The 13,658-nt window shown below is 45.9% G+C and overlaps 1 protein-coding gene and 1 non-coding gene across 5 annotated transcripts in view; both read right to left on the bottom strand.

Moving 5' to 3' along the window:
* Positions 1–13,658, bottom strand: part of GNAO1 (G protein subunit alpha o1) — a 165,956-nt gene that overhangs the window by 99,542 nt on the left and 52,756 nt on the right. The window lies entirely within an intron of this gene.
* MIR3935 (microRNA 3935) lies at positions 12,280–12,383 on the bottom strand. The gene has a single exon (NR_037499.1). It is a non-coding gene; the product is annotated as a microRNA 3935 (primary transcript).

Genomic DNA, 13,658 nt, shown 5'->3' with positions numbered 1-13,658 from the left:
CGTGGGCTAGGCTGGTGCTCTCGTGATCCACACGCCCCATCAGGTGTCAGTCTACGCCCACAGCCCTCAGTCTACCAGCCTGCTGGCCCTGTTGGCATTAGGACTCCTTCACAGAGTCAGTTAATGGCATCAGCCTCACGTTTCAGGTAGAATAAATGTTTCCTGCATGTTGGTAAGAAGGAAAAGTGCTAAACTAATGGAAGATTTTTTTTTCATCCTAATAAATACGGGCTGTAGTCAGAAATTTGACAGGTCCAGTGAATCATTAGTGTGAACCATGTTCAAACTTGTGAAAACGGTTCAGCTTGCTTCCACCTTTTTATGAAGCCTCACTGGGGGATACCACACCCCCCCAAGGACCCAACAAGATGCACAGCCAGAAGGCTCTACACAGCTGGAAGGTTGGCCACGGTCCATGTTTGCACTTAAGGGCTGCTTGGTCAGACACACGGAACACTAATGACAATCACGTGGCCTTGGCTGCCAAGAAGTGGCCCAGAGTGATGGGAAACAAACCTCCTGAGCTAGCCGATGCAAAGACATTCAGCCAACAAGTAGGAAAGGCACCTTCTGCATTGGTTGGCAAAGGGGAAGGAATCCAATATCTAAACACTGGAGTGCCCCAGGGCTAAGACCATGGATTGCCGACTCAACATCTCCACTTAAATATGTACTAGGCAGGGCAGAATAAATGGGCTCCTAACTGAACTTCTAATTTCCCCCCCCCAAACCCAGTCCCCTTTCAGCCTTCCCCACCACAGAAAATACTGTTGCCTACTGAAGACTGGGCATGACATTTGATCTCTGTTTTATTAAAAGGGAATTTAATGAGTGCTAGAGATGTGTCAAAGGCATAGTAATGCCAAACGCGAGACTATTTGCCATAATTAGAAGAACTAAAAGAGAACTGAACAAACAACTTTCCCACCACGGGATTCAACATTCTCAAACACTGTCCTTGCACCACTGCAACTCATCTTGGGCCACTGGCAGTGTCCGTCCTGTAATTTGAGGCACTCTGGAGTATATGATTCTGGAAGCTAGTCCAGTGTCTAATCAGATTCAACTAGACAAAGAGTAATGGGGAGTGTTAGTGGCCCCTGAGTGCAGCCATAGGGATAGCCTATCCAGAAAAAAAGACAAACACACACACACACACACACACACACACACACACACACACAGAGAGAGAGAGAGAGAGAGAGAGAGAGAGAGACAGAGAGAAAGAGACTGACCTCCAGTCTCAGTTGATCCATCAGTAACTGAGAAAAGACAACAGATCCTGAGAACATGGCAACCTGAAAGAGATTATCATCTCTAACCTATCTGTTCAATCCTAAATTAGAGAACTGCTGAGGCCTTTGGGCAGATGGGGGTACATGCGGGAAACAAGGCTGAAAAACTGGTGTGGGGATCTCCCTTATTAGAGACCAGCTTCAGAGAGCTTTGGAGCAAGGATCAAAAGCCATGGATGCCGGAAAGAACTTGGCCAAGGAAGACCAGTGGATCCCTAGTGTGTGTGTGTATGTGGGTGGAATTTGGCACGTAATGGAGCGCAGGTAGAAACTGGCTTTGCCTGATTGACCCAGGTCAGACCAAGAAGTGGCTGAACCAGTGGGCTGCAACCCCCTGCCCTGTAGCCAAAGGGGAATGGGAAGTAAGGGAGACAGATGTCTCAGGAGTAGACTGGTGGCTCACCTGCCTCAATACCACTGGCTCCAAGGGTAAGGACAGCTCCACTCCCACCAGCTGTGGACTGCTGCCACTCTGGGCTCCATAACCAGAGGTACAAAGAACAAAGAACACTCACAACATGCTTCAAAGTCCTGGCAGAAGAAGATCTGTCAGAACGAACAGTGCACAAGCCCAGTGAAGTGCAGCTGCTCCAAGAGACAAATGAAAACTCAAGCAGAACATCACATGAGCCCTACAGCAACTCAGGGCAGACTTAAAAGATTTCTCACATATTAAAACAATGTCTTCCCAACTATTGCAGGTGAGTCCCTGTTGAGATGTGAATTGGTGGTCTGGAAGACAAAATGGAAAACCTATCTCCAAATATACAGTAAAAATATAGATATATAATTTATAAGGGAAAAGATAACAGACATGGAGGACAGATCCAGGGGGATCTAACTTAAAAATATTGGGAGTTCTAGAAGTAGAAAAACAAACTGAGAGAGGACAGCCAATAATTAAATAACAAACAGAAGACAATTGCCCTGAACTGAAAAAAGAACTGACTCTACAGATTGAAAAGGCTCACACAGTTCCAGGAAGGACGACAAGAAAAGACATACACATAGGTTACCTTGGTACAACTGCTAAACTTCAAGATGAACACAAAATCTTAAAAGCTTCCAGACAGAAAGAACATATTGCCTATAAGGAAAAAAGAGTAAGACTGACATTGAACTTCTCATCTGAAACACTACAAACTAAAAGAGAGCAGAATACCATGTATACACTACTCAGAAAAGATAACCAAAGACCTCAAATAGTTTGCCCATCATTTTTTAGAGGAAACACACAAGAATTCATAGTTTATCACCCATACATCTCATCTATGGAAAATACTTAAAGCAACAAACAACAAATGTGGCAGAACATTTTTCCTTGACCTGGGGAAAATGAACTGGTCAGGAAACCGTGAGGAGTAAGGAAGATTGCCACACACCTGCCCCTCCCTTTTCTCCTAAATCTAAATGGAGAATGGTAGATGTTCTGGGAATGGAACTGCTAAAGAAGGACTCTGAAAATAGAAGGGACATACTACAAGGGAAATTCCACCAACAGCTCAAAGCTAAAAATATTAAATGTTCCTAACAGAATCAAGGAGTTGAAGAGGATGGGAGGAAAAGTGTTCCAAGGTCTCATCTTAAGTAGGGACAGGGAAACAATTTTAACGTCTCATCCCACTGAAGCAGGGAAGAGCAGGGAGAGAATGGAACATCTTGGAGGGAGGAACAGTTATTTCATGTTATCTTGTGTTCAAATAACATTAAAGCAATATGTGTTTAATTATGAATTAAGGGAAAAAGAATGTAACCTTTAATGAAAGGGAAAAGTAGAGAACTTTCCCTGTGTTCTCTATGGGAACATAGAGAATATGGGGAAAAGATGAAATTTGAAGCAACTACATTAAACCAGCACAAGCAAGGGAAACAAAATACGACAGAAAGAAATTATAAACATACTGTAGATGGAAGAAATAAAATCCAGTACATCAGTCAACAGATTAGATTACTCATTAAAAACAGAAGATGCCAGATTGGGTTAAGAAATTAAAACAAAAACCAAGCTCCAGGTGCATGCTGTTTATAAGAAAACTGATTAAAATAAAGGTATACAGAAATGTTGAAAATAAATGCATAGGCAAGCAGATACTAGGCAAGTGCAAACAAAAGGAGGGAGAAGTGTCAAAATTAATTAGATAAGGGAGAATTTTAGTTTAAAAAAATGCTGCAGAGGATACAGATGTTTGTGATGATAAAAGGAACACTTATTTTATGAAGACATTAATGACCATCAGAAACTTTAATGCATTAAACACAGAAGCTAAATATATGAAGCATCCATTATTAGAAATGGAATAAATAAAATTTTAGTGTGAAATTTCAAAGATGTCTATTTCAAAAATAGACATATAGGCAAAAATTAAGATAACAGAGAAAATAAAAAATATAATTTGAATTACTAGAAATATATAGGGCCCTGCATTCCTTGAATCTGGAATAGATCATTTGTTGGGACCTGAATCACTTACAAAACTTGATCACAGATATAAACTTAATAAATTTCACAAGATATGTTTATTTTTTTAATTAAACAAAATTTTATCTTCCCCAAACAAACAATGTATGTTTAATAAAAAAAAATTTTATGGAAGGGCATAAAACCAGATTTGAAGAAAAGGCATATGTTCTTAAATGGGAACATTTAACATTATAAAAAATGCCCCGTGTACACTGGAACTTAATACAACTTTTAATTAGAATTTCAACACTTTTTTTTGTTTGTTTTTTAAGTAGAAGCTCAATCCCAGGAAGAGTTGGCATCTCCCTGCTACCCCAGGCTGGGGAGAAGGCAGGGCCCAGGTCTGGCCCCTTCATCCCACAAGCTGCCACATGTCCCCCACTCTGCTTCCATGTGATGGCAAAGTGCATGGCCCATCGGGTCAAATCCTGGCTACACATGTCTGTGCATACCTCCCACAGGGACTGAACTTGAGAGGGACCCAGTAGGTAACAGGGCTCAGCATGGAGGCTGAAGAGTGGCCCAGTGAGCTGGCCTGCTTTCACCTACCAACACCAAACAGATGAAGAGTGACCAACACCCGCCCCACAGGGCTGTAAAGAATATTTTCATCTTTCACTCAAACACACCTCTGGCTTGCTTTAAAAGCTTCTCATCAGGCAACTCTGCATTGCATTACAATTAATCACACTTGCCCAATTAAGAAGAAAGAATAAAGATTCTCTTCTCCCATCTTCCAGAAGTGTGGAAAGGATGGGACCTGCTCAAGGTCACAGGCCAGCAAGTAGCCGGGCTGGGGCTCCAACCCAGGTCTTCTGACTCCACATCCCAGCTTCCTCCCTGCTAATCTTCGTGATAAGACAAAGTGGCAGGAGGAGTCGATCAGTCACACACTGTTGCGGGTGAGATGGAGGAACGAGGAGGGTGAAGGGTCCTGGCACCAGAGCCAGGCTGCCCTGGGGAGTCTTTTAGGCAGAGCTGACTGGAACCTGGGCCAGGCAAGAGGGGGCCCAGGACCAGGAGCAGCTGTTCTCTGCTCAAATGCTTGGCTCCAGAGATGGCTGCTGCTGCCGCTGCTGCTATCTAGTCAGACACTCAGAGGTTAGCCGAGGGCAGCTCCCCAGCAGAACTCTTGGCAGAAGGCAAGCAATGTGAGTGCATCAGCCCAAAGTTCCATTGCAGCCTCAGAATCTGGCTCCAGCATGGACGGCACCTCCTCAGGGTGACTTGCACTTCCCATACCAAGAGGCCCTGTGAGCTGTTGGGGTTGGTGGGGGGGACAGGCCAATGCACTCAAGGGCAACAGGGCATGTCTGCACTGAAGACAGGGCCCACCCCACTGCCCACAAGAAGGAACAGCTGGATGGGGCCGGGGCCAGGAGGAAGGTTGGGAGGGGAGAAGGGTCTACTTGAGCATTCCTGATGTGGGGGTGTGGATGAGCTGTGATGAGAAGTTCTTCCTATGTCAGCCTCACTATGCGAAAGTATCAAGCAAATACCCTGTGCCAGACGTCGTGCTGGGTGGTTTGTGTGCACCTCCCCATTTCATCCTCACGACTCTCCAAGAAAGGTACTATTAGAAGATTCCTCAGAGGAGGAAATGCAGGCCAAGAGAGATCAACTCGCTTGCTCAAGGTCACTCAGGTGGTGAGTGGCAGAACTGAGCTTCTGTGTTACTTGGAAGCTTGTGCTCTGAGCAAGGCACTAGAGTGCCCACCTCATCTGAACTGCTCTCCTTGCAACCCAGTGCCCTGCTGAGGCTGGCCCAGGAAGCACAGCACTTACTGCTTTCCCTAGCCTTGTCTGAGGGTCCTGTCCAGCAGCCTGGCATCTAGGGGGCCAGCCTTGGGGACTTGGAGTCAGAAGACTTGGGTTCACAGGGGCCATCCCACCTTGTACTGCAATTGGCTGTGCCATCCAGAGACTAATAACCAAGAGGAACACAGTATAGTACTTGTAGTTTACCATGTACCTGCAGATATGTTCTCAATGAGAAGTAAACACACATTTTGGCCTGATCAGCTCATTTGATACAGAATTCCCTCTACCTTCCTTGGTGTGGCCCTACTTTGAGGGCGGGAGGATGATTTATTATACTTCCTATAATTTCTGCTTATAGCTCCTTCTGGAGGCAAAAAGTCTCATTTGTTGCCCATGCACCAGGGCCTCAGAGGATTGGTGCCTCTGGCTGGAGGCCTCTGGTTCTGTCTGGGCCCCAGAAAAGGTCCTTACAAATGCCAGGAAATCTAACAGGGGTGCTTTACAGTTCACTCTGGAGCCAGCTCTTGATCAGGGAAGATGGCAGCCTCGCTGACTGGTGCTGGAGTGCAGAGTGAGAGGGAGACAGGCAGACCCTCTCACCAGGTACCAAAATGACACCTGTGGGGAAAAGCTAAGTGGACCAACCTTCCAAGCAGATTAACTTCTATCCTGGGATCTGCAGAACTATTAGTGGGCAATGGTTTGAGCATAGGCAAGGGGAGGAAGGTGAGGCTGGAGAGTAAGGAAACAAAGCCACAGGCAAGCTCTTCTTTATAAAGGAGGCTGTTAGGAAAATCCAATGTGCACTTGACCACCTGGGGTTCTATATTACAATCCTTTTTCCTAAGACCCATTTCAGCAGAATGGGAAAATATTTGCTATTTTGTAAAAGTTATTTAACTGTTATTAAAACATGCCCTTGAGCTTAATGATGTTGTTTATTTTACCATTTACATATTGCACTCCTTGAGCTGACTCTTCAACTTGATTTCACTTACAGAAGTGAACTTGATTTCACTTGTAGAAGTTTTAAGAACTTCTCTCCTCGAATATGCAGGCAGATGCATTGTAAGTCATCAGTGTAATGGGCAACTTCACTGGAAGAGGGTTACAAGTCCCAGGTTCAAAGGCCAGACTTGCCAATTTCGATCGAGATGGTCCTGGACAAATAACTGAATTTCTCTAACCCTCAGTCTCCTCATCTATAAATAGGATAATTGCCACCCAGCCTCCTTTATAGGGGTGTTATTAGGATTAAGTGGGATGCCTATGATAGCCTGTTGTAGACTGTAAAACACACAAACTGATGCTGAAGTGAAAAATGTGAGATCTTAGACTCGGGGGTAAAATCATAGATTAGACATTTGTGGCTTGGGGCCACCTTATATTCATTCTTTCACCTCTTTGCCAACATCAAGTGTTCGAAGAGCCACTTCTCCCCAGCTCTTGGCCAAATGTCATTAAGGTGGGGACTAAGTCAACATATTCCATTCCCCAAAACCACAATGGTTGGTTCAGGGATGGAACATAAGTCAATCAGAATCAGTGAGAAGCATTAAGACTCTTCCTGGGATATCCAGTAAAGAAACACTTTGCATGGGGATTTGGAGCTGAGGCTGAGGGGTGAATCCACCTGAGAGTGAAGTTAACATGGAGGAAAGCAGAGCCTAGAGAGGAGCCACTAGGTCCTGATAACATCCTTACAGCCCCAGGAGCCAGACTTTTCAGTGAGAGAGGTGGCTAAGCTTATTTTTTAAGTCATTGGGCAGGATTTCTGCCATTTGTACCTGAAAGGGTTTGATACGCAATCTCAATGAAAGCAGGATGACTGATACTCAGGATCAGCTTCTGGCTATGTTTTCCAAAGGAAAGCTCTGTCTTGCATGCTCTTTTTTCTACCCAAGAGCCACCCAACTAAACCTGGCATCAGCACAGGGACTAAGCTGAGGACATTCCATCTTCCCCCAAAGTGGAAGTGCTCAGAGGAATATTAACAGTGGCTTTATCTAGTCTAATTGGCCAAGGCTTACAGTTCTTCAAGAATTCCTTCCTTGAGATGGTTGGCCTTCTAGATCTGTGGTTTTTAAGTACTGGTCTGAAGACCCCTGGTAAGCCAAGAAGATCCCCAAATAAGGTTAGCAATTACGGTTTCTTTCTGGCCTTCATTCCATGCCACACTGTATACAACTCATCAACCCCGCCAACTTGTCTGAGGGACATACCTTGTATCTTCATGCTTCTGTGCCTCTGCTCATGCTTTTCTCCCCACCTAGAACGCCCTCCCTTCTTACTTCTCAGTACCAATTCTTCCTGATGGTTTGGGGCTGGAGCAGACACTGTTGGTGGCCAAGCCATCCACCATTGTTCTCTCTCTTCCCTGTTGGCCAAGTCTGAGCTGTGTCCTGGTGTCCCTATCTCCTCTTGATTGGCAGAAGCACATCATGTAAACCCACTGCCCTAACCAGTGATTGGTTTAAGAAGAGACATGGGACCCAAATCTGTGCAATGAGGGCTAAATCTGTCCAGCGTAAGGGCCAGTCTCCCAGCAGGGCTTCTAAAATAGGGAGAGGCTCGACCCTGTCATTTCCCTTGATTTAGGTGGTGAAACCATAATGCCTGGAGCTGCTGCAGGGAGGAGCCAGCTGGTGTGCTGAGGCAGGCACAATGAATAGAGAGAAAAGACTTGGGTCCCTGATAGCTTCATTGGGCAACCGTGGGCCTGCTTAATTTCCAGACTTCTTGATATATGTGTTCATAATTTCCGGTATGGTTTAAGCCCTTCTGAATTGGGTTTTCTGTTACTTGCAGCCAGTGGCTCCTTGACACAAAAGCTCTGTTCCAGCTCCTCTCCCCCTTGGTGCTTTCCCTGATCATGCCAGTTGTCCACAGAACAGCCTCCTCCCCAGCACTCCTCTCCCCTCCCCAGTGGATATGCCTGGATTGTCTGTCAATGCCAGGAAAGTGCGATGGTTTTCATTCTAGATTGGGTTCTGCAGCACTGTGTTGAGATGGTGAGGCCATGCTGGGGCTCTGAAGGAAACGGTGTCGTAGCAGCACCTGCCATGAACTTCGGAGGAGCCATATGCAGCTTCGAGAATCCAAACAAAACTCCTGACTTCACTGCCCAAACTTGTTCCCCCCCATTCCATGTATCTCAGAGACCATCACCTCCATTTTATCAGTTACTCAGGCCAAAAACCTTGGATTCAACCTTGACTCCTCTCTTTCTCTCACACCTACATTCAATATGAAAGGAAATCTGTTGGCTTTACTTTCAAAACACATCCAGGACCTGATTGCTCTGCTACCTCCCTAAATCACTACCACCGTAGTTTCTTGTGGACAGCCCCATGTCTCTGAATTTGTGCGGCCTAGTAGAGCACCTTATATAGGCCACCACAGCCTCTCTCCTGAGAAACTTCAGCAGCCCCTTAATGATCTCCCTGCATCTATTCCTGTCTCTGGGCTGTTCTCCACAGTGAGATCAACACTTCCCATGGGCTCCCATCACACCTGGAATAAAAGTCCAAGTCCTTCTGCAGCCTCTAAAGTAGCCCAGTCCTCTGGCTCCCTCTCTTGACTTCATATTTCCCCAACCTATCCCTCCCGCCATAGAGGCTTCTGTTTCTTAAAAACCACTCCCACCTCAGGGCCTTTGCACTTGCTGTTTCTTCTGCCTAGAACACTCTTCCCTCACCTCCACACTTCCTTCAGAGGCTGCTTAAATGTTATCTTGGAGAGAATGTCCCTGACCACTCTCATAAAACAATGGCCCCCTCTAAGTCCCTCCCTGTTTATTTTTCTTCATAGCCTATCTGCCCCTGACATATTATTTTTCTGTGTGGTGCCTCTCTTTCCATCCTGGAAGCTGAGGACCTGTCTCACCCACAGCTGTTATCATGGACCAGAACAGCTCTAGGCACAGGGCAAGCATTTAGTATATACTTGTGTAGTGAACAAACTCTTTTTGTATCTCCCGCCATTCTCAGTACATGGCTTTGGACACAGTAGGTGTTCACAAAGTTTGCCTGTTAGATTTGATGTTTATAACAGGAAAACATCAGAAGTTTGATTTCATTTCTGGCAGAAATGAAAGCTTCTTTCATACACATGGACAAAGACTGGAAGGTAGCACTGGAAAACAGAAACGAGAGTTAAGAGTGGTGAAAGTTTTTGCATATTAATTTCTCTAAATGTTAAGACAGCACAATTAAAAGGTATAAATATGTTTTACTGTTAAAAATTGTTTCAAAGAATTGTGCATGCTTTTCTTAGTGTTGTCTAAAGAAAATCAGTTTGGGTTTTCTTAAAGGCACTAACAGTTGAGACTGGGCCAACAGAATCTCCCTCAAAATCCCCTGTCCCCAAAGAGACCTACAGAGAGACATCATGCCTTTATGAACAACCTTCTGAGAGCTGTAATCCTCAACCAATGTGTGTGAGAATGCACATTCAGTATCATAATTGTTTTGCCTTTACATGATACCTAGTTGGCAATTCCAAATATCCTAATGTAGGGATTATTTATCAAGAAGTGATAGAGGTTAAACAACTTTCTGCCCCAGGAAGCACTGAGTCCAATCCTCTATCTTAGGCAGGATGTTTGCAAATATTTGTTCATCCAGCTATTATTTATTAAGCATCAACCACATTCCTGCTCCAAGAAGCCCTTCTCCCTCGGGAGACAAGTGCTTATTTTTATAGGATTTCAGGGAAGGAGATGTGAGGTGAGCTTTAGGGGAGGACTGTTCAATCCATTCTAATCCAATTATTTGTTGAGGACCTATTATGTATGCACAAGATGCTCTACTAGGCCCTACAAATTCAAAGACATGTGGCTGTCCACAAGACACTTATAATCCAGTATGTGAGATTAGAAATGAAAAAAAAAAAAAAAAAAAAACCTCACCCTAATAAAAGGTAGCAAAATGTCAGATACACTGCAAGAGAAAAGCAAAACCACCTATGTTTTAAAGGGGCTCAGAGAAGGAGGAAGTACAGCTGAGTGGAGAAATTGGGTACAGCTTTGGGAAAACCATGACATTTTGCGGCCTAGAAGGAAAGGTGGGTGTGACAGGCAGAGACATGGGACATGTGGGTGGGGTTATTCCAGGTAAAGGAAACTGTGCACCCCAAGACAGGGAGACAGCAGGGTACAGGGCACAGGCTAGCGCAGTTCTGTTCTGCCTGGATGGCCGGCGCCAGCCCATGTGCTCTGCTGACGGGCCATGCTGACCTGGGTAGCTGGTGACAGCAACGGAGGGGAGCTGAGGCGGGCAAAGATGGCCCCAGCAGTCAGGTGGACAGTGGATTAGACTGCGGGGAGAAGAGGAAAAAAGGGCCACTTAAGGAAGCTGTTACTCTGGCAGAGGGCCACATAGATAGGGGCCTTAACTTGGTAAAGTGGGCATTTTATTTATTCTTAATACCTTCTATTGATGTCATATAATCTTTTGCATGTACAAGGCATTACATAATGAAGAGCCCTACTTGATTAATTCATTTAGTCAACAAACACAAATTAAACATTCGCTCTTTAAAAAACCTTTTTGAAGAGAATGACACCCAGGGAGGGGAGAGGAGAGGCATTCTGGGAAAGGGTTGTCAGAGAGGAAGAGGGACAGGAGGAGGGAAGTGACAGCAGCAGACTAGCAATGATCACTGGAGTGGGAGGGCACATGACGGGGAACATGGACACACAGAGAACAAGCTCCACAGCAGGGCGCTGTGGGGACAGCGGTGCCGTGTGAGCTTTTCCTTATGGGAAACCCTAGGCAGAGGACAAAGACCTCTGGTTCGTGGACACACTGGGTCCTCGTGCCTCTCAGGCTGCAGCTGCGAAGTTTACGTGAGCTGCCTTTAGCCAGGAGACACTGAACTTGATCGTCCAGTATCCAGAAGTACCCTCCAGGACTGGGCGATGGTGGGGCCAGAGTGCCTGCAACAGGATCCGTGTTTCTGTGAACGGGACTCTGATGTTCCAGATTGTGACCTGGGCATGTTACCAAGAACAGACATTCCCAGGAAAAGGCTTTCTCACTGATGCCCTTTGTGATTACAGCTGGGAGGCTGAAGTAGGGGTTTTCCACAACATGACCTTTGAAGAAAGGTTAACGACTGCTTCAGGAGGGCCTGAGCCTTGCATGTCTGCCCTAAGCAGTCTGGGTGCTTGGGCTGTCCCTGACCTCACCTCCAAGAGCACAGTGTGGAGTCAGCCACTGATGGGAAACATCAGCCAGGCAGACAGGCATGTGCCCTGAGGCAGCAGCTCAGGCAGCAGGTAGGCTGTGAGGAAAGAGGGCTGACCCAGGGAGTTGGGAGGCCTGACTTCTGTCTCTGATTCACCCAGGGGCCCTGCAGAGATCTCAGCTGGGAGGAAGCAGGGCAGTAATTATGGGTGTGGGCTCTGGAAACATTAAGATCCGAGTTTGAATCCTGGTGCCCCTTACCCCCCTACACACCCAATCTGAATTATAAACCTCCCATTAGTCTCTCCTAAAAGGCCTGCATTTTCCTTTCCCAACACTTTTCACAATTTTTATAAGTCTACCCTCCAGACTTGGTACTGTGTCTCAATTGCTATGTTTTTTGTTCTCCATGGGCCATGTTTTGACAGAGAAAGTACACCATATCAGTTTCCCAATCTTATTGATTCTATAGGGGCCAGCTCAAATGCCACCTCTTCCAGAAAACTTCCCTTGGGCTTCTTGTACCCAAGAATTGCTCTCTTTCTATTCAAGTGCCCTAGCCCTCTGTCTGGCCTAAGCATTCTCTGCCTTTGCTTAGGGTGGCTGGTGCTCGTATCTACAAAAATGCTTACCTTCATAGATACAACCATCAGCTCCTTCTGGGACAGGAACACATCCACATCAGCTTCTTTCATACCCCCAAATACTTAGGGCAATGCCTGTTCTGTTTGTGGGTTAATGAATGAGTCAGTGGACAAGATTTTCTGACTGCCTGAGGGCACACCACCCTTTAACTGGCCAGTGTTGTGAACTCTTCTACAAAAGACCTGAGCGTTACCCCAGCCAAGCTGAATCAAATGGAACGTCAGGGCCGTGATTCCAAGCCAAATCCATACAAACTGAATTTAGCAGTTGCACAGAGCCGAAGCAGGGCTCACCAGATTTCTAAGAATGGATAAATTGCCCTGATCATCAGCTCAGCCGCAACAGCCTAGCAGAGGCCACATCTCCCTGGAACAACAAGGGTAGATGAAGCATCTTTAACAGAGTTTTTTTTTTTATCTATAAAATAAATAAATGTTGTCTAGTGCTTTCTCCTGGCTCAGCTATCCTAAGACTCTAGTGTAGGCTGATTCTAAAGGCATGATTTTGCCCAGTGGAAAATGTTTTAGTGAAACTTTCTTTGAAAATTAGTGCCAGAGAAAATGCACTGGATAGACCCGAGGGGCCATCAGTAGCCCACATCCTGACTATTCCCAATCTGGTTTATTTTCAGAGCTCCCCAGGCATGACTGGAGAAGGTGCTATTCAGTGGGAAACAGGCCTTTGCCTTCTGCCTGTAGGAAGAGCAGAAGCGGTGGTGGACTCTGAGCACCGGGAGCTCTGTCCATGCTCCTGACAGCACGTGCATTTGCCCAGCTTGGCTATACTGGCCAGCCCACACTCTGCACATCCACCTTAGCTTGGGCCTGCCACAGGGAACCCTGGGTGTGGTGGAAAAAATAGCTGGGACCCTAGAGACTAGAGGAAAGCCAGGGAGTCCAAGGGAGGGCAAGTCCCAGGGGGTCAAATGACCTTAGAGAATCGCAGCGGAAGCCCCTAGACCTGAGGGTGGCCTTCCCCAGCAAGTGGTCCCAGAACAAGCAATGAGGGATCCAGTTTCTTATTCTTGTCAAGCAGAGTCAGATACGTGACTGCTAATCGAAGCTTCTCATCAGCTGGAGGTAACCAGGGTTACTACCCTGGTGGGACGTAATTTCAGCCAAGAGCAAAGATGCTCTATGGTCTCCAGGCCTGAATGCAAATATAATGTTAGGTTTTTTTTTTTTTTATGCTAAGTGTTATCCATAGACCAGCATTACTACTTTCATGAACCCCAGGATGGGGCCCTCTTTTATCCAGCCTAAGACTTGGTTTAAAAGAGGAAGAAACTGAGGCCCAGGAATTCTGTGC

This window comes from Homo sapiens, chromosome 16 (assembly GCF_000001405.40).
Source record: "Homo sapiens chromosome 16, GRCh38.p14 Primary Assembly".
Taxonomy (NCBI): Eukaryota; Metazoa; Chordata; class Mammalia; order Primates; family Hominidae; genus Homo; species Homo sapiens.
This window is presented reverse-complemented; position numbering and strand designations above follow the sequence as displayed.